Source organism: Homo sapiens, chromosome 15, assembly GCF_000001405.40.
Source record: "Homo sapiens chromosome 15, GRCh38.p14 Primary Assembly".
NCBI classification, from domain to species: domain Eukaryota; kingdom Metazoa; phylum Chordata; class Mammalia; order Primates; family Hominidae; genus Homo; species Homo sapiens.
In genome coordinates this window covers 98,488,408-98,508,854 of record NC_000015.10, presented here as the reverse complement: position 1 = coordinate 98,508,854, position 20,447 = coordinate 98,488,408, and the positions used below count along the sequence as shown (strand labels likewise).

Below are 20,447 nucleotides of genomic sequence, written 5' to 3'. Positions count from 1 at the left end.
CCAGTCTTTCTTTTCTTGGTCCTTATAGACCATCTTTCACAATTCACTCTGGACCTTTGTCAGGAGGGGATGCTAGGAGAACCAGGCATTAATACTAAGGCTGATGTTATCCCCCTATGCACTGGGGCAGCATTGGTTCATGTTTGGTCTTTTTGGCCATTCCTGTCACTGTATAATTACAGAGAGTGGATTTCAACTTCAGCATCACATTCACAGGTTCTGCTCCTTGGGATGTGAATTCACTGGGTCTAGAGACTTGAGCATCTCTAAAAGGAGCAAATCTCTAAAAGAATGTCCCAGAGGCAGATTAAAAATGGCAAGTTGTAATTGATATGAAGTCAAATGCAGCTGTTTGGGAAATAAACAAAGATAAGACATAAAAAAGGATGAGTTCATGTCCTTTGTAGGGATATGGATGAAGCTGGAAACCATCATTCTGAGCAAACTATCGCAAAGATAGAAAACCAAATACCGCACGTTCTCACTCACAGGTGGGAATTGAACAATGAGAACACTTGGACACAGGAAGGGGAACATCACACACTGGGGCCTGTTGTGGGGTGGAGGGAGCGGGGAGGGATAGCACTAGGAGATATACCTAATGTAAATGACGAGTTAACGGGTGCAGCACACCAACATGGCACATGTATACATATGTAACAAACCTGCACGTTGTGCACATGTACCCTAGAACTTAAAGTATAATAATAATAAAAAAATAAACAAAAAACCAACCAAACAACAACAACAGAAAAACAAAGGCAAGACCCTTGCCTTATACTCTAATCCACTATTTCCAGTTTCCAAGCCATTCCTAATTTGGGGACCAGTTGGCTTTCCAGTGAATATGGTCCTCTGTGACCATTAGAGCATCTGGCCAATGCGTGTTCTTCCTCAAGGTTCTCTCCAAGTCCAGCCAGCCTACCCGGGCCCCTCACCCTGTTTTCACGAGCAGTTTCCCAGCCTGCCTGAGCTTACTCAGTGCTCTGGTCTTCCCCACCTTATTCTTTAAGGATTGTGCCAGGCCTGGGGCTCTGCACTCAGTTACAGGCACCTTTGTCCATCCCCCACTGTAACACCTTCGTAACATCTGACCCTTTCTGAATGGGCCTCTTTTCTGCAAGCTCCTGGGCCACACCTTTAGTTCCAGATGGAGTCTTCCTGTTGTACTTGTCAGGAAACTTGCTGATTTGTCTTGTAAGATTTCCTCTTATCAGCTCTCTTTCTGACAACTTTTATTTTATTTTATTTTTTCATATGAAGCCCAGGAGTCAGATGATCAGAGGGCAAGGCAAAGAATGTTCCAGAGGCTGATTAAAAATGGCAAACTGTAATTGATATGCAGTCAAATGCAGCTGTTTGGGAAATAAACAAAGGCAAGACCCTTGCCTTATACAACAACCCAAATAAACTCCAAACGGATTGAGGAATTACATGTAAAAAAACCAAATGAGATAAAATTAAAATCCACACCCATAATATAAAAATGAATACAAAATTTCTTTCTACTCATGATTTAAGTTTCTGGAAACCTCTGTGGCAACAGGAATTCACAACTGATTAGCTTCAGCATGTACAGACTAAAGAGTAAAGACCCGAAAATTAAAATTAAACCTATGATAGGAGAGGTATAGATAGATAGGCAGACAGGTAAGGATGATAAAATATTCATGGTAGATTTAGGTGGTGAGTGTGTGGGTGTCCACTGTAACAAATGTTTGAAAACTTTTGTCATCAAATGTTTTAGAAAAAGGAAAAAAAAATTATAATTGAGTAAAATGACAAAGATATGATGCCACAGTGCTGCAGAAGGTTTTGGAGTAAGGAGGCTCTTGGGTATTGCTGGAAGCAGTTGGGAGCCCTCCCTGGTTCTTGGCAGGGAAGTGGCAGTCTAGCCGGTACGGGGGTGTGAAACCAGATAAGTTATCCACCGCCCACTGCCCATTTCCTCAGGACCTCTGGCTCTGCCTCCTGGCGTCCAGACTCAGTGGTGGTGCCCGCGCTTGGCTCTCACAGAGGCTGGCTCTGTCCCCAGCACTAGGGGCTGTGGACCTGCAGCAACAGGCCCTCCCTGCTTGCTCTCAGCCCTTGGCTGCCTGGGGGGCATGCAGAAGGAGTGCTGAAAGGAAGCGGAGATTTCCAAAGAAGCCTGGTGATGTTATGGAGGATGGGGTGGGGACAGGGATCCTGGCTCTGTATCTTCAGTCCTTGGCAAAATGCCCTGCCCATGATTGGAAGGAAGGACATGCCAGTGAATCTTGGGGAGGCTGCTGGCAACCTCGGCAGAGATGCTGGGGGCTTGCCTGGCAGGGGGCACAGGTTGGAGACACATGGAGTGGATTGAAAGCAATGGTGAGGAAGGTTTCAGCGTGGCTAGGTGGTGGTACCAGCCATGCTCGGTTATCTAGGAGAAAAAGCACAGGGCAAGGTCAACCTGAGCTCCCATCTGAAGGGTCTGGGGAATAGCAAAAGCAGGGGGAAGTAAGATTCGGCAGCGGGAGGAGGAGTCTGGGCCTGGATCCTCCACCTGGGTGGGAACCTGTGCCGTAGGCGTGTCTGCGTTGTGGGGCATAGCACCTTGCAGTTATCACCTGTTGCTATTCCTAGCCCTGGTCATTGCCTGTGGTTGACCTTCTTTGGTAGATTATAACCTCTCTGAAGGGAGGGGTCCTGCCACTTAGATCTTCTGGGCTCTGTTGGGTTGCCAGCATCCCCAGAGGGTGTTTGTAAATATTAGTTAGGTCTCTCCATGGGGGAGATGTGGGATGGGGAGGCAGCTGGGCTAAGAAACAGAAATCAAGACACTGAGGGAGAAGGAAGGCTGAAGCAATAGTGTTTGCAGTTGTTGCCTTCCCTGATTAGAACATCTATCCCTCCAGCCAACTCCCAGGACGTTTTGTGACCAAGCATAGCACTAACCCTTCAAATGGCTGCTAATTGATTTACAGTTTTTGGTGATTGCACAGCATGTGCACCCGGAGAAAAACAAGCAGAGAATCAAAAAATGATGATTTTTTCCTGGAAAAGCATGCCCGTTATAGCCTACAGGGACAGCAGGGGCCAAGGCAAACATTCAGCTGAAACCAGAGCCTTGGTGTAGCCTGCCTTCCGCATGGCTGTCCTGGGCCGGGAGATTGCGACATGGTGGGGCTGTGGCCAGACCCTCTCTGGGCTGTGCCGGGGGCAGGTGGTGGTTGGGAGGGAACCTCAGGGAACTTCTTTGGGGCCAGGAGGTCCTGTCTGAGCTGCTCCTCTCTGCTGTGCAGGCTGCCCAGATTTTGGGGATGGGTCAGGGATGGAGGGCTGGAAGCGGGTGGGGATTGTGAATTTGGGACTCCTAGAAGGGGGCCCAGCTAGAGCAGCTCCTGGTCTCTGCTGGTGGGCCTTGAAGGGAGGGGCTGGGCCCTCTGGTGGGATGGATGGGTGCAGTGCAGTGCTGACTAGCAGGATGAGGGCAGTTTGTGTATATCTAGTGAAAAGAATGAAAAACAACTGGGGTGGTGGGAGATGGGGAGAGGCTCGCTGACCTAGTGAAGTCTGGGTTTTGGCGTGTGGAGCGGTGATTGCAATTTTTCTGGCTTTGAAGTGTGATGGCCCCGCAGACTCATGAACACGAAGGATGCAGAGTGGAGATTTCCCGGAGCCTGCTTCAGGGACCACCTGGTTAGGAGGCACCCTGTAAATATGCCTGCCATGAGCATGTGGACATAGCGTCTTTATATTTTAGTCTGTGCTTTCTTTCTGGATCATGCAAAGGGAAACGTCAGTCCGAGGCAGGTCAAATCCCACCCTCCACATTGGCAGAACCCTGCTGAAGTAGGTTTGACAGTTTGAGGGAAAAGAGCTCTGGCCAGAAACTCAGGCTTTATTTAAATACCTGCGTCTCTGGGCAGCTGAGGTGCCCATGTGGCCACGGATGTTTGGCCAGTGTTAGGTGGCCCCCAGGTTGAGTAGTGACCCAAGCCACTTCTCATACAACCTAAAGGAGCCCCGTGCTAGGAACAGAGAGATTTGTTTTCGTTGGGCCCTAAAAGGTGCCAGTTGAAGGGCTGGCTACTCACAAGGACAGCGAAATGTTTTGGAAGTGCATGTTGGCTAGAGTTTGGGATTTCCCTCTTTATGGCACTTACTGTGAGCTGGATTTAAATATAGGGGAAAACAGCATCCCACTTTCTTACCAAGGGACTAATGGTATTTGGAAGACAGGGACGCTCCATGGAAAATATTTCGAGTGTCAAGGACGGAGCCTTGGGCTTGGTGTGGTGGGGGTGGGTTGCTTCTGGGAGGCACCTTGAAGGTTTTACCACCGCATTTGGGGAGCTGTCTGCATCTCTTTTTGCTTCCCCCAAACCCGAGAAACGTGCCAAGCCTGCCTTGGTCCGGCTGGTGATTTTAAGACTCCTTTCCTAGATGTACAGCTTTAGCGTGGGTTTCTTTTTGTCCCCAAAACCTTGCAGTTCAGCTGTACCTCTGGATCCAGGCACCCCACCTCGCTCCATCTTCCTCTGGTTAAAATCTAGACTCATGAAAACAAAATTGCTTAAGGCAAGAAAGGCCTGAGAAACAGAGGGAGGCTGATGCAAATCTACTGCAAACCAGATGTTTCCTTCTCTGTGGCAAAGAGGCGCTGAAGTTCATGGGGCATCTGGGGAAGTGTTTGTCTTTAAGGAAGACATCTGTATGGAAGTGGTAGCCTGAGTAATGCGATGTGACAGTTGCTGTGTCGACTCGCGTATTTTCCCCTCCCCTTATATTATTGGCCAGTTCAATGTTGCACAAAAGTCGTGCAATGCCTTGGAATGTGTTTATGTGCTGTCCTCTGCCAGAACTTTTCAGCATTTTTTTTTCCTACGTGTGTTTTGCTTTTGAGAAGATGGCCTGTCACTTTGGTTTAACTGTGTTCTTTTTTTATGGAACTACATATTTCTTGGATTTGTAACGGGGCAGTGGCGACTTAGACTCCAGGAGAGTAATGGATGGGGGAGCAAAAAGGGGCAGGAAGGGGCACTTGAAGCCCCTTCCAGACCAGGGGTCAGACATGACCAATTTGCAGGTAGTTTGAGGAGATAATATGTGTGCGAGTGGAATGGGTCCCTCCTTGGTGTCTGTGATGGCATGGGACATGGATCCTTCTTCTCTCTCTCTTCTCAGCTCCCGGCTATGTATCCAGCTGCCTGCTGGCCAGGCTCACTTTGCCATCTCTATCAGGCATTTGGAAACTGCAGCCCGCACTTTCCTCCTCTTCCTCCTCTTTGCTTCCTCCTAGTTAAGGCACCTGCAACCTTCTGCTGAAGCTTGAGGGCTGGCTGCCCTCACTGCTACCTTCTTCTTTTTTTTTTTTTTTGAGATGGAGTTTTGCTCTTGTTGCCCAGGCTGGAGTGCAGTGGTGCGATCTCGGCTCACCACAACCTCTGCCTCCTGGGTTCAAGCGATTCTCCTGTCTCAGCCTTCCCAAGTAGCTGGGATTACAGGCATGCGCCACCACGCCTGGCTAATTTTGTATTTTTAGTAGAGATGGGGTTTCTCCATGTTGGCCAGGCTGGTCTTGAACTCCTGACCTCAGGTGATCCACCCGCCCCTGCCTCCCAAAGTGCTGGCATTACAGGCGTGAGCCACCGTGCCTGGCTGCTACCGCCTTCTTTCTGCTGCAGACGAGTCTACTCCCAGCCTGTATCTCTTCCCCAGTACCTCCGTCCCAGTCAGCATGATTGCTGCAGCCCGTCTCTCCTCTCCTGGCTGCATCCCCACGGCTTCCCATTGTTTTCTCTCCCTCCATCCTCACCCCCATCCTAATCCAGTCTCCACCCTCAGTCAGTGTGAACCTTTTTTTTCTTTTTTCCCTTTTAAGACTTTATCTTTTTAGACCCGTTTCAGGGTCACAGCTTTAGGTTTCACAGTTTCAGGCTCAAGAAGGTACAGAGATTTCCTATATGCCCCCTTCCCCGACACGTGCAGAGCCTCCCCTGTGGTCAGCATCTCCCATCAGACTGGGACATTTGTTGCAATTGATGAACCTACATTGCCACATCATTATCACCCAGAGCTCATCGTTTACATTAGGGTTCACTCTTGGTATTGTATGTTCTACAGGTTTGGGCAAATGAATAATGACATGTATCCACCATTATAGTATTACACAGGCATGAGGCATTCACCCTGTTAAGGTCTTCCCTGGCTGGCCTCTCCTTTCTCAGCACAGTGCCTTGGTTTGTCCTCTCCTCATCTAGCCCTTTCCTTTCTCTTTCTGCTGGCCTCTGCCTGGGTCTGGCCCAGCTCTGCCCTCTTGTCTTTTGTCCATTCTTCATTTGGGGCATACTGCTTAGAACAGGGGCTTTGGAGTCAGTGAGACCCACCCGGGTTCACATCCAATTCCAGTGCTGCTATTTCTAGGTACACAACCTTGGACAGGTTTCTTTTTCTTTTCTTTTCTTTTTTTTTTTTTTTGAGGTGGAGTCTTGCTCTGTTGCCCAGGCTGGAGTGCAGTGGCACAGTCTCGGCTCACTGTAACCTCCGCCTCCCAGGTTCAAGTGATTCTCATGCCTCAGCCACCCGAGTAGCTGGAATTACAGGCGCTCGCCACCATGCCTGGCTAATTTTTGTATTGTTAGTAGAGATGGGGTTTCACCATGTTGGTCAGGCTGGTTTCAAACTCCTGACCTCAAGTGATCCGCCTGCCTCGGCCTCCCAGAGTGCTGGGATTACAGGCGTGAGCCACCATGCCCAGCCCTTGAGCAGGTTTCTTAACCTTCTGAGCCTCACCTGGAAAATGGAATTAGCTATAGTAACCAGTCAATGAGATACTGGAGAACTTGGTGTGATGTCAGCAAGATAGCTGACTAAAAGCCCCTAGTGCTTGACCCCCTACAAAGACAGCCAGAACAACAAACAACCACCTGTTAATGAAAATAACTGAGAGAGAGAGTGCCAAAGTGTATCAGAGGTTTAAGAGAAACCCTGGTGAGCACAGAAACTCGGGATGGCCACATAGAGAATGGAACAATGGGCCTCCGCCACTTCATCTCCCAACTGGGATAATCTGGGAACCAGGAGGAGCTTTTTCCTATGGTGGGGAAGTAAGCAAGGGGATCCCAGAAAACCCCATTACCACCTTGGACCTCACCGCATCACACCTACAGACATCACTGCTGGGGTCTCCTGCAGCCCTCACAGGCACTAAGCCCCACTGAAGGGTCTGCCTGGAGTCTACACAGCTATGCTCCTGCCAGGGTAGGAGCCAATATTGTGCCCTGCCCCTATGCCTTGCATGGCTACTGCATTCTCTTATTTTGGAATTGGAAAGATGGCTTGGGTATGTCTGGCTCTGGGGTTGAGTGGCCACAGCTTCCCTTCATCTCTGAGGTTAAGCTGCCACAGAACCACCCCAGCCTGATGGCCTGATATCCCCAAGCGAAGTTGCCAGCAGGTGTTACACCCATCCCCATGGGGCCAAGGAGAGGTGAAGTGGCTCCACCTACCACCAGCTCTACCTCCTTGGGCTGGAGCTTGAGCAGTACCCTGCTTCCTGGGAAAATAGTACCTTGGCTGCCCAGAGCAGCCATGCCTACAAGTGCCTAATTTGAAGCAGCACCCTACATCAGGAAATGATATCTTTGTTATCCAGAGTGGTCACACATCCTATACCTAAGCTGAGGTGATGCCCTGCATCCCAGGGAAACGGTGCCTCGGCACCCAGAACAGTCATACCCCCCAGACCTAAGCTGAAGTGGTACATTGCCCTGTGGAGAATTAGAGCTTTTGCTGAGCTGAGCAGCTCCACATCCCAGGGCTGAGCTGATGTAGTATCCCATGTCCCAGGGAAACAGAGCAGTGACTGATCTCAGACACCCTTTTCTACTGGCCAAATAACTCCAGAATCCTGCTTTCCTGAAGCTGAACTAGATTCCTAGAGTCTGAGCTGCTGAGATAGCCTTCTCCTTGCGGAGTGGAGTTACAGCTTTGCTGCCTCCTTGCCTCCCCAATCTCCCAGGGCCCAAAGGACAGCTGTGTTCCACCATTCTGGGGTACTTGTTACTCCCGCACCTGGTCTCATAAAGTCTGGAATACTGGTGAGCCCCACCCTCCCAGTGTCTAGAGTCACTACTGCATGGTGCCTTATCCTGTGGGACCCAAGTTGCCACTGAACCCTGTTGGTTGGCTCAGGCTCCCAAATTGCAGCTGTACCTTGCTCCCCAGGCCCAAACCTTAGAGCACCTCTTCTTCCCTGGAGTTGGGCCAGTTCTGTGCCCTAACTCCTGTGGGTAGAATCACAGCTACAATGCAACCTTGTGGGCCAGAGCTGCTAGAAGATGCCTCAGACTCACAGATCCTGGCTTTGTGGGCAACCTTCAGCCAACCCTGCCACAGAAAGTGAACCTGTACCCCAAGACCCGAGTACCAAAATAGGTTCGTGAGACCCTGAGCCTAGGATGTTGGCTCCACAGTTGCTTTAAGCACCTGAATCTGGAACCTAGCACCACTGAAGCTACTTGTAGGTCACGTCAGACCTGACATCAGGAGGGATCCCCTTGGCTGAGTCTCCACACTGTAGGGAAGATGAGCCTAGGAGGACCCCCAAATCCCTTGACACTGAGGACATTAGCAACCTACTCCACTGCTGCTGCCGCCACAGACTTCTACAGCCTGGGCCACTGTGGCACCCACAGTTACTCCTGATGTTGTGCACAAATAAAGAACCTTCATGGAGGCTATAATATTGTGCCTATCTGGAAAGAGTCACGACACCCTTCCCAACTGGTGCATTAAAATGCAACTGCAAGTGAAAGTCTTTGTCTACAAAATCTACTCTAGAAAGCTTGAAAGAGGTGATTCTTCCATCAGAAGCATACTGACATTGACATAGGAACATAAGACATGTGAAAAAGCAAGGAAATTTGATATCACCAAAGGAACACAATAACTCTATAGTAACAGACACCAATGAAACGGAAAGTAATGAGTTACCAGAAAGGGAATTTAAAATAATGATCTTAAGGAAACTAAAAAAGATAAAATAAAATACAATATAACTCAACAAAATAAGGAAAACAATTCACAATATGAATGAGAAATTCAACAGAGATAGGAATCATTAAAAAGGACCAAACATAAATATTACCACTGAAGAATTTAGTGAATGAAATAAAAAATATGATAGAGAGCTTCAACAGCAGCCTTGATCAAGCAGAAGAAGAAATCTCTGAACTTGAAGATAAGTCATTTGAAATTATTCAGTCAGAGGAAAAAAAGGATATAAGAAGGAAAAAGAGTGATGAAATCCTACAAGACTTATGACACATAAGTAAGGAAGCAAATATTCGTATTATGAGAATTCTGGGAAAAGAGAAGGGAAAAGGCATAGAAAACCTAAAGTTCCCAAGTCTGAGGAGAGATATGGACATCCAGATTTAGAAAGCACAAAGATCCTCAAATAGATTCAGCCATAAAAGTCCCTCCCTGAGGCATATTATAGTCAGATTATCAAAAGTCAAAGACAAAGAGATAATTCCAAAAACAGCAAGAGAAAAGCGTCAAGTCATATGTGATGGAATTCTCATTAGGCTAACAGCAGATTTCTCCACAGAAACCTTATAGGCCAGGAGAGAATGGAATAATGTATTCAAAATGCCAAAAGAAAAAAATTGCCATCAAGAATACTTCAGAAATAAGGGAGAAATAAAGTCTTTTCCAGACAAGCAAAAAGTGAGTCTTTCCCAGACAAGAAAAACTTTGTAATGTCACCACTAGATTGATGTTACAAAACAGGCTCAAGGAGTCCTATATCTGGAGGCAAAAATATGATAATCACTATCATGAAAACACACAAAAATAAACTCACTGGGAGAACAGATTCACAAAAGAGAAAGGCAAAAGAATAAAATCTTATCACTATGGGAAGCCATCAAACTACAATTATAAACAGTAAGAGAGGAAGAAAGGACCAAATTACATACAAAACAACCAGGAAACAATTAACAAAATGACAGGAATAAGTCCTCACCTATCCATAATAACCTTGAATGTAAGCAGATTAAATTCTCCATGGAAAAGATATAGACTGGCTTAATGGATAAAAAACATGACCCCACTATATGGTACCCACAAAAAACTCACTTTACCTGTAAAGACACATATAGACTGAAACTGAAGAGATGAAAAAAGATATTTCATGCAAACAGAAACAAAAAGCAAGCAGGAATAGCTATGTGAAGATTAAATAGACTTTTAAAAAATGGTAAAAAGATATTAAGAAAGTCATAATATAATGATAAAGAGGTTAGTTCAGCAATAGGATATAACAATAATAAATCTATATTCATCCAACACCAGAACACCCAGATATATGAAGCAAATATTATTAGATCTAAAGGGAGATATATGCTATAATACAATAATAGGTGAGTGCTTCAACACCAAACTGTCAGCACTGGACAGATCATTTAGACAGAAAATCAACAAAGAAACATTAGATTTAAATTGCACTTTAGACCAAATAGACTTAGCAGACATTTATAGAATATTTCATCCAACAGCTGCAGAACACACATTCTTTTCATCAGCACGTGGAACATTCTCCAGGATAGACCACATGTTAGGCCACAAAAAAAGTCTAAACAAATTTAAAAGAATTGAAATCATATCAAGTATCTTTTCTGACCACAGTGGAATAAAACTGGAAATTAATAGCAAGAGGGACATTAGAAATAGTATAAATACATGGAAATTAAGCATCATGCTCTTAAATGACCAAGGAGTCAATGAAGAAACTATGAAGGAAATTTAAAAGTTTATTGAAACAAATGAAAATAGAAACACAACATACCAAAACCTTTGGGAGATAGCAAAAGCAGTTCCAAGAGGGAAGTTTATAGCAATAAACACCTACATCAAAAAAGTAAAAATATTTCAAATAACCCAACAATGCATCTCAAGGAACTAGAAAAGCAAGAACAAAACAAACTCAAAATAAGTAGGAGAAAAGAAATAATAAAGAGTAGAGCAGAAATAAAATAAATTGAGACTAAATAAAATACAAAAGATCAACAAATAAAAGTTAGTTTTTTTTTTAACAGATAAGATAAAAAGGCCGGATGCGGTGGCTCACGCCTGTAATCCCAGCACTTTGGGAGGCCGAGACGGGCGGATCACGAGGTTAGGAGATCGAGACCATCCTGGATAACACGGTGAAACCCCATCTCTACTAAAAATACAAAAAAATTAGCCGGGCGCGGTGGCGGGCGCCTGTGGTCCCAGTTACTCGGGAGCCTGAGGCAGGAGAATGGCGTGAACCCGGGAGGCGGAGCTTGCAGTGAGCCGAGATCGCGCCACTGCACTCCAGCCTGGGCGACAGAGCAAGACTCCGTCTCATAAAAAAAAAAAAAAAAAAAAAAAAAAAAAACCAAGAAAAAAATATCCAAATAAATAAAATCAGAAATGAAAAGGGACAATTACAACTGATACCACAGAAATACACGGGATCATTAGAGAATATTACAAACAACTTTACAACAAATTTGAAAAGCTAGCAGCAATATATGTATATTTCTGGACACATAGAACCTACCAAGATTGAACCAAATAAGAAAGAGAAAACTTAAAGAGACCTATCAAGGTTATTGTTGATAGGTGAGTAATGAGATTGAATCAGTAATAAAAAGTCTCTCATCAAAGAAGAGCCCAGGATCTGATGGCTTCACTGTTGAATTCTACCAAACATTTCAGGAATAACTAATACAAATTCTTCTCAAACTCTTTCAGAAAATTAAAGAGGAGGAAATTTTTCCAAACTCATTCTATGAGATCAGAATTACCCTGATATCATAACTAGTCAAAGACACAACAACAACAACAAAAAAGGGAAACTATAGGCCAATATCCTTGATGAACATAATTGTACATGTTCTCAACAAAATACTAGCAAACCAATTCAACAATGCATTAAATTGTTGTTCACCATGATCGAGTAGGATTCATCTCCCGGATGCAAAGATGGTTCAACATATGCAAATCAATAAATGTGATACATCAGTGGAATCAAGGATAAAAACCATATTAGCACCTCAAAAGACACAGAAAAAGTATTGGACAAAATTCAACATTGTCTCATGATAAAGCTCACAAGTTAGGTATAATAGGAACCTACCTCAACACAATAAAGCCCATATATGACACACCCCTAACCAACATCATACCAAATGTGGAAAATTTGAAAGCTTTACCTCTAAGATCTGGAGTAAGATAAAGATGCCTTCTTTTAACACTTTTATTTAACATGGTACTAGAAGACCTAGCTATAGCAACTATTCAAAAGAGAGAAAGAAGGGTCATCTAAGTTGGAAAGGAGGAAGTCAAATTGTCCCTGTTTGCAGATGGCATGATCTTATATATAGAAAACCATGAAAGCTTCACCAAAAAAGCTTTTAGAACTGATAAACCAATTCAGTGAAGTTGCAGGATACAAAAATCAACATAAAAATCAGTAGTATTTCAATACATCCATGACAAACTTGTGGAAAAAGAAATCGAGAAAGGAAATCCATTTACAGTAGACACACACACACATACAGAGACACACAGAAACTAGGAATAAATTTAACCAAGGAGGTCAAAGAGCTCCACAAGGGAAAACATAAAATACTGATGAAAAAATTGAAGAGGATACACAAAAAATAGACATTCCATGTGCATGGGTTGGATAAATTAATATTGTGAAAATGACCATACTACCAAAAGCAATCTATAGATTCAGTGTACTCTTTATCAAAATACCAATGGCATTCTTCACAGAAATAGAAAAAAATTCTAAAATTGATTTGGAACTACTAATGACTTCGAATAGCCAAAGCAATACTGAGCAAAAAGAACAAAGCTGGAGGCATCAAACTACTGGACTTCAATATATTCTACAAAGGTGTAGTAACCCAAACAACATGGTACTGTCATAAAAGCAGACATGTAGACCAATGCAACAGAATAGAGAACCCAGAAATAAACCGATATACTTACAGACAGTTGATTTTTGAAAAATGTACCAAGAACATTCATTGGGGGAAAGGACAGTCTCTTTAGTAAATGGTGCTCAGACAACTGGATATTTATAAGCAGAAGAATGAAACTAGTCCCCCTATTTGTCACCATATACAAAATTCAACTCAAAATAGATTAAAGACTTAAATGTAAGACCTGGAACTATGAAACTATTAATAGTAGAAGACAGCACAGAGGAAATGCTTCAGGACATTGCTCTGAGCAGATATTTTATGGAGAAGATCTCAAAAGCACAGGAAACAAAATCAAAATAAGGCAAGTGAGATTATACTGAACTAAAAATCTTCTGCACAGAAAAATAAACAACAGAATGAAGAGACAACTTGCAGAATCAAATAAAATATTTGGAAACTATTCATCCGACAAGAGATTAGCATCCAGAATATACAAGGGGCTCAAATAATTCAACAGCAAAAAAAAAAAAAAAAAAAAAAAAACAAATAATCCGATTAAAAAATGGGCAAATGAGCTGAATACAAATCTCTTAAAAGAAGACATACAAATGGCCAATAGATATATGAAAAAATGCTCAACACGACAAATCATCAGTGAAATGCAAATCAAAGCCACAGTAAGCTATCACCTCACCCCAGTTAGAACAGCTATTATGAAAAAGACAAAAAATAACATATGCTATGAGGTTGTGGAGAAAGGGGAATGTTTGTATGCTGTTGATGAGAATGTAAAGTAGTACAGCCATTATGGAGAACAGTATGGGGGCTCCTCAAAAATCTAAAAATAGAACTACTATATGGTCCAGCAATCCCACTTCTGAGTATATATCCAAAGGAAATAAAATCAGTATGTTGAAGAAATATCTGCACTCCCATATTTACTGTAGCATTCACAATGGCCAAGATATGGAATCAACTTAAGTGTCTATCAGCAGATGAATGGATAAAGACAATGTATATGCAATGGAATACTATTTAGACATAAAAAAGAACAAAATTCTGTAATTTGCAGCAACATGGATGAGCTTGGAGGACATTATGTCGAAATATGAAAAAAGCCAAAACAGAAAGATAAGTACCACATGTTCTCACTCATATGTAGAAGCTAAAGTAGTTGAGCTCATACAAGTAGAGAGTAGAATAGTGGTTACTAGATGCAGGGAAGGCTGTTGGGGGATGAAAGGGAGGGCCTAGTGAATGGATGCAAAGTGCAGGTCAGTAGGAAAAATACGTTCTAGGGTTCCATACCACTGCAGGGTGACTCCAGTTAGCAACAATTTATTCCATGTTTTCAAATAGCTAGAAGAGTGGATTTTGAATGTCTCCAACAAAAAGAAGGAATAAATGTTTGAGGTGATAAGTATTGCTAATTACCCTGATTTGATCATTACATGTTGTGTACATGTATCAAAATATCACATGTACCCCATAAATATGTGCAATTATAAATAATGTGTCAAAAAAATAATACAGGCAAAAAAAAAAAAAAGAGATACTGCATGTGCCCTTGGCATTGCGCCAGGCGCTTGATGAGTGCTGTGGTGGTCAGTGCTATTATTTTAAAGCAGTGACTGGATCACGTTCCTGTCCTTTTCTGAAGCATAGTAGCTGTCCACAGTTTGGCCCTCATGGGCCTGATGGGCCTCCTCCTGCCTTCTCACCACTCTGAACGCTGGTGGCTCTGGCATGCTGCAGTTCCTGTTCTTGCCTGTCACATCTCTATATCTCTGTCACCTCCCTCACCTGGCATGGCCTTCTCCCCTTACTTTGGCCTGACTCATTCTTCCCACCTGGTTAAGTCAGTTGCCATTGGAGACTCCCTCATCCCTCGGTCCAAATGACCTTCTTCTCCCTTCTGGCCCTCCCACAGCACATAGCCTGGGTCTGATTTGACTTTATTCTGTGTCTTCCTCTAAACTGTAAGTTTCTTAAGCCAGGGTCTAGTTTGATTCCTTGATTGGATGTAATATGTCTTTTGCACATTATAGCTGCTCTACGTGTGGGTTGGATAAGCAACACGTGCCACAGACTTGTGACCTCCGGAGGGTCTGTGCACTGCTTTGGTACCTCCTGCTGATCTCTGTGCTGAGGCAGGCGGAGAGGGACCACAAGCTCAACTTTGCGCTCCACCAATCCCTGCTGGACGTTGTTACTACATCACACCACACAGCCTGGGTCTGATTTAACTCCATTCTGTGTCTTCCTTTAAATTGTTAGTTTCTCGGGGTTTCGCTGTGTTGGCCGGGCTGGTCTCCAGCTCCTAACCGCGAGTGATCCGCCAGCCTTGGCCTCCCGAGGTGCCGGGATTGCAGACGGAGTCTGGTTCACTCAGTGCTCAATGGTGCCCAGGCTGGAGTGCAGTGGCGTGATCTCAGCTCGCTACAACCTCCATCTCCCAGCCGCCTGCCTTGGCCTCCCAAAGTGCCGAGATCGCAGCCTCTGCCCGGCCGCCACCCCGTCTGGGAAGTGAGGAGCGTCTCTGCCTGGCCGCCCATCGTCTGGGATGTGAGGAGCCCCTCTGCCTGGCTGCCCAGTCTGGAAAGTGAGGAGCGTCTCTGCCCGGCCGCCATCCCATCTAGGAAGTGAGGAGCGCCTCTTCCCGGCAGCCATCCCATCTGGGAAGTGAGGAGCGTCTCTGCCCGGCCGCCCATCGTCTGAGATGTGGGGAGCGCCTCTGTCCCGCCGCCCCGTCTGGGATGTGAGGAGCGCCTCTGCCCGGCCGCCCTGTCTGAGAAGTGAGGAGACCCTCCGCCCAGCATCCGCCCCGTCTGAGAAGTGAGGAGCCCCTCTGCCCGGCAGCCACCCCGTCTGGGAGGGAGGTGGGGGGGTCAGCCCCCCGCCCGGCCAGCCGCCCCGTCCGGGAGGTGAGGGGCGCCTCTGCCCGGCCACCCCTACTAGGAAGTGAGGAGCCCCTCTGCCCAGCCACCACCTCGTCTGGGAGGTGTGCCCAACAGCTCATTGAGAACGGGCCGGGATGACAATGGCGGTTTTGTGGAATAGAAAGGGGGGAAAGGTGGGGAAAAGATTGAGAAATCGGATGGTTGCCGTGTCTGTGTAGAAAGAAGTAGACATGGGAGACTTTTCATTTTGTTCTGTACTAAGATAAATTCTTCTGCCTTGGGATCCTGTTGATCGGTGACCTTACCCCCAACCCTGTGCTCTCTGAAACATGTGCTGTGTCCACTCAGGGTTAAATGGATTAAGGGCGGTGCAAGATGTGCTTTGTTAAACAGATGCTTGAAGGCAGCATGCTCGTTAAGAATCATCACCACTCCCTAATCTCAAGTACCCAGGGACACAAACACTGCGGAAGGCCGCAGGGCCCTCTGCCTAGGAAAACCAGAGACCTTTGTTCACTTGTTTGTCTGCTGACCTTCCCTCCACTATTGTCCTATGACCCTGCCAAATCCCCCTCTGCGAGAAACACCCAAGAATGATCAATAAAAAAAATAAAAATTAAAAAAAAAAAAATAAATAAATTGTTAGTTTCTTAAGCCAGGATATAGTTTAATTCCTTAAGTAGACTCCTCCTTGCTGAATTTGGCTGCAGCCTCAAAATCCTTCTGAAGGCACCACTCACTCTTAGTTGCCACAGCCCATCCATCCAAGGTAACAGGTGACAACCAGGTCTCTCTGACCTGTACTGTGAAAAAGTCATGCTAACGTTGTCCGAAGGATTGTTTTGCTTACTTATAGATTTAAAAAATCAGATAAAAAGGTTCGGCTTCTTTAAGAAGTCTTAGGCAAGACACGAAGTTTAAAAAATCTTGTCAGAGGTCCTGTTATGTGTCTGAATCCGGCACTGATGCGTGCCCACTACATTGGGAGGGCAAAGCGAGGAAAGCTGTGGTCAGCTTAACTGCCTGACAGAAAAGGTGATGGTCATGAGGAAATGTGGTGTGAAATGTAAATACTCACTGGATGGGCAGATCTCAAGATGTGAAAGACAGACATTTCTGTGCAAACCGGAGCAGAAAGATGGTTTGGACGGGGATCTCCCAGGGAGAAACGGAGAGTTACAGAACACTTTCCGTTGTCTTGTTGACAATGAAAATATTACACAGCCTTTTCATACTTCATTGTAATCCCAGAGCAATGTTTGAAGCAGGTGGAGGAACTTTCTAGAAATTACTGGAATGCTTCAAACACCTAAGGAGAAGTGGTTTGGTGAGGTGAACTCTCTCACCTACTTTGCTTTATAACAATAGAAGAGGATGTGATCTCCATTTGACAAGAGGGTGAATCAAAGCTGGGGAGGGAATGGGTTTAGGTCATGCAACTAGTAACTGGAGATGGCAGAATTTGGGCCCTGTCTGGCTCTGAGGTTCCAATTCCTTTTCCTATACCATGGACAGTATGTAGAGCCGTTTCTAAAATGCCTTGAGTCATCTTACTCTCCATTGGCGCTGATGTCGGCTAGTGGCTTCCGAGTGAATGAAGCCAATGTTTTGCTGAGATGGTGTTTGCAGCCCAGTCTCTTCCATATTTAGACCTTGCCCAGCTACCCCTGCCGCTTGGGATGCCCTGAACATGGCCCGGGACTTACAGGGTGCTGTGCCTCTGCTCCCGGGTTGCCTGCATCAGCCTTCCCCACCGTCTCTGTCTGTTGAAACCTCACCCAGTGATGCGGAGCTGGTGGAGTTTCTGGGAATGCTTTCCCAGTTCCCCTCGGCAGAGTCGACCTCCTCCTCTGGGTCCTCGTGAAACTCGATTCCAGCACTGATCACTCCCTGCCCTGTACTGGAATAGCTTATTTAGCTCTCTTGTTCTTAGTGGGCTCCCAACTCCAAGAGGCAAGGATGGAGGCTTAATCATCAGCTCCTGGGGCCCAGGACAGCACCAGTCACACAGTGGGGAACTCAGCCATGGAGAGTTGAATTCAGCAGATCATGCATAGCCTTGGGTGAATCCAGGCCTCTAGGAATTAGCCTTCGGGACCTCACTGTCTTTACTTCTTTGGGACACCTTGGAGTGTCATAGAATAAAATCCATTACTGACATCTTCCTTGTGGTCCATGTCACCTGCCACTCGGGGACAGGGCAATTGAATTGGCGTGGTGAGGCTGGCTCTTCACAATGCCCTCCCGATGGCTCTCAGCACGGCGCATCTCTCTCCGCAGGTGTCCAGGCTCTTCTCAGTCCTTAGGTGGAGGAAATGACTGATCAGGACCATATTTTTCCTTTTTAAAAACAAGGATGTTGTGACTTCCTTTTTCTAACCTTTGGAGGTTGCTGGCTCCAGGGTCTCAGCAGTGATACCCTGAGGCTGGCTCTGTGGCACCTGTCAGCACCCCAGGAGCCATCATTTGTCCTTGCTGAGCTGGGGACTGCCTCTCTCCAAGGGCTGTGTCTCCCTCCTGTGTTCTCTGGACAAGGTGTTAGACTTCACTGATCAGAAGCTACTGCTCTCCAGAAGGCTGATTCTATTTTTCAAGAGTTGGTTTTGAGGCAGTTTGTTTTTAACTGTTACATGTGATTGGACTTCAGTTTCATTGTTATGTATACTTAGCAGTTTAAGATGAGTTTTGAAAAAAAAACAACAACAGGTCAGTCTTATTTGTGACAACTTGTGTGACTAATTACTGGTCTGCAGTGCACTGTGAAACTTGCAAGGTACCACATAAACACTGAATCATAACACATTTCTTGTTTGAAACTGTATTAGCAAATTGAACATCTGTGTTATAGCAATACAGTGTATTAGTAAATTCAACAGCTTTTATTGATTCACCTTGTTAAGCAGGAAAATAATCATAGCTTATAAAGCTCCTGGAAGTTCTAGTAGGTGCCATTTTGGAAGTGAATTGAGTTGAATAAATGAAGGCAGATGTCAAACATTTAATTGGCTCTCTGCTCCCAGCTGGCTCTATCAATTTTGGAGCCATTGTCAGAGATGACATAATTCACCCATATGAAACTGACAAGGTGGGTTAGATGCTGTTGGTCTCTAGGGAGGAGGGGCTGGCTATGCAGAGTTAATGTTTAATACCTGGCTAATGCCACTTGTATTAGTCAGGGTTCTCTTTTTTAGTTTTTATTTTTTTGAGATGGAGTCTCGCTCTGTCACCCAGGCTGGAGTGCAGTGGCGCGATCTCTGCTCACTGCAAGCTCCGCCTCCCGGGTTCACGCCATTCTCCTGCCTTAGCCTCCCGAGTAGCTGGGACTACAGGCGCCTGCCACCACGCCCGGCTAATTTTTTCTATTTTTAGTAGACACAGGGTTTCACCATATTAGCCAGGATGGTTTCGATCTCCTGACCTCATGATCCACCTGCCGCGGCCTCCCAAAGGACTGGGATTACAGGCGTGAGCCACCGCGCCTGGCCTAGTCAGGGTTCTCTTAGAGGGACAGAACTAACAGGATATATATATGTGTATATATATGTGTGTATATATATATATATATATATACGTATATATGTGTGTGTATATATATATATATACGTATATATGTGTGTATATATATATACGTATATATGTGTATATATGTGTATATATATATACGTATATGTGTATATATATGTGTATATATATATACGTATATATGTGTGTGTATATATATGTGTATATATATACATGTGTGTATATATGTGTATATACGTGTGTACATATATGGGATATATATATATCCTATGGATATATATCCATAAGATATATATATCTCCATAGGATATCCTATATATATATCCTATATATCTTATATATATCATATATATCCTATATATATCCTATATATCTTATATATCCTATATATATCATATATATCCATAGGATATCCTATATATATCATATATATCCATAGGATATCCTATATATATATCCTATATATATCATATATATATCTCCTATATATCCTATATATCGGAGATATATATATAGGAGATATATATATATAGGAGATATATATATATATATGGGAGATATATATATCTCCCATATATATATATGGGAGATATATATATATCCTATATATATGAGTTTATTGAGTATTTTATATATATACATAAAGGGGAATTTATTAAGTATTATATATATGTATAAAGGGGAGTTTATTAAGTATTAACTTACTTACATAACCACAAGGTCCCACAATAGGCTGTCTGCAAGCTGAGGAGCAAGGAGAAGCAGTCCGAGTCCCGAAGCTGAAGAACTTGGAGTCGGATGTTCGAGGGCAGGAAGCATCCAGCATGGGAGAAAGATGTAGGCTGGGAGGCTTGGCCCATCTCTCCTTTTCATGTTTTTCTGCCTGCTTTATATTTAGTGGAAGCTGATTAGATTGTGCCCACCAGATTAAGGGTGGATCTGCCTTCCCCAGCCCCCTGACCCAAATGTTAATCTCTTTTGGCAACACCCATACAGGCACACCCAGGATTAATACTCTGTATCCCTCAATCCAATCAAGTTGACACTCATTATTAATCATCGCACCACTGTAGCTTGGTCTTCACAG

The 20,447-nt window shown here is 44.6% G+C and overlaps 1 pseudogene across 1 annotated transcript in view, besides 1 other annotated feature; it reads left to right on the top strand.

Moving 5' to 3' along the window:
- The window catches only part of FAM169BP (family with sequence similarity 169 member B, pseudogene), a 77,175-nt pseudogene that overhangs the window by 5,482 nt on the left and 51,246 nt on the right, over nucleotides 1-20,447 (top strand). The gene's annotated exons all lie outside the window — the stretch shown is intronic.
- Nucleotides 20,010-20,209: a silencer, noted in NCBI's record as "fragment chr15:99031875-99032074 (GRCh37/hg19 assembly coordinates)". NCBI's record gives its function as "represses an EF-1alpha promoter that drives an FKBP-Casp9 reporter gene in an ReSE screen in K562 erythroleukemia cells {active_cell/tissue: K562}" and the evidence as "EXISTENCE:reporter gene assay evidence [ECO:0000049][PMID:32094911]".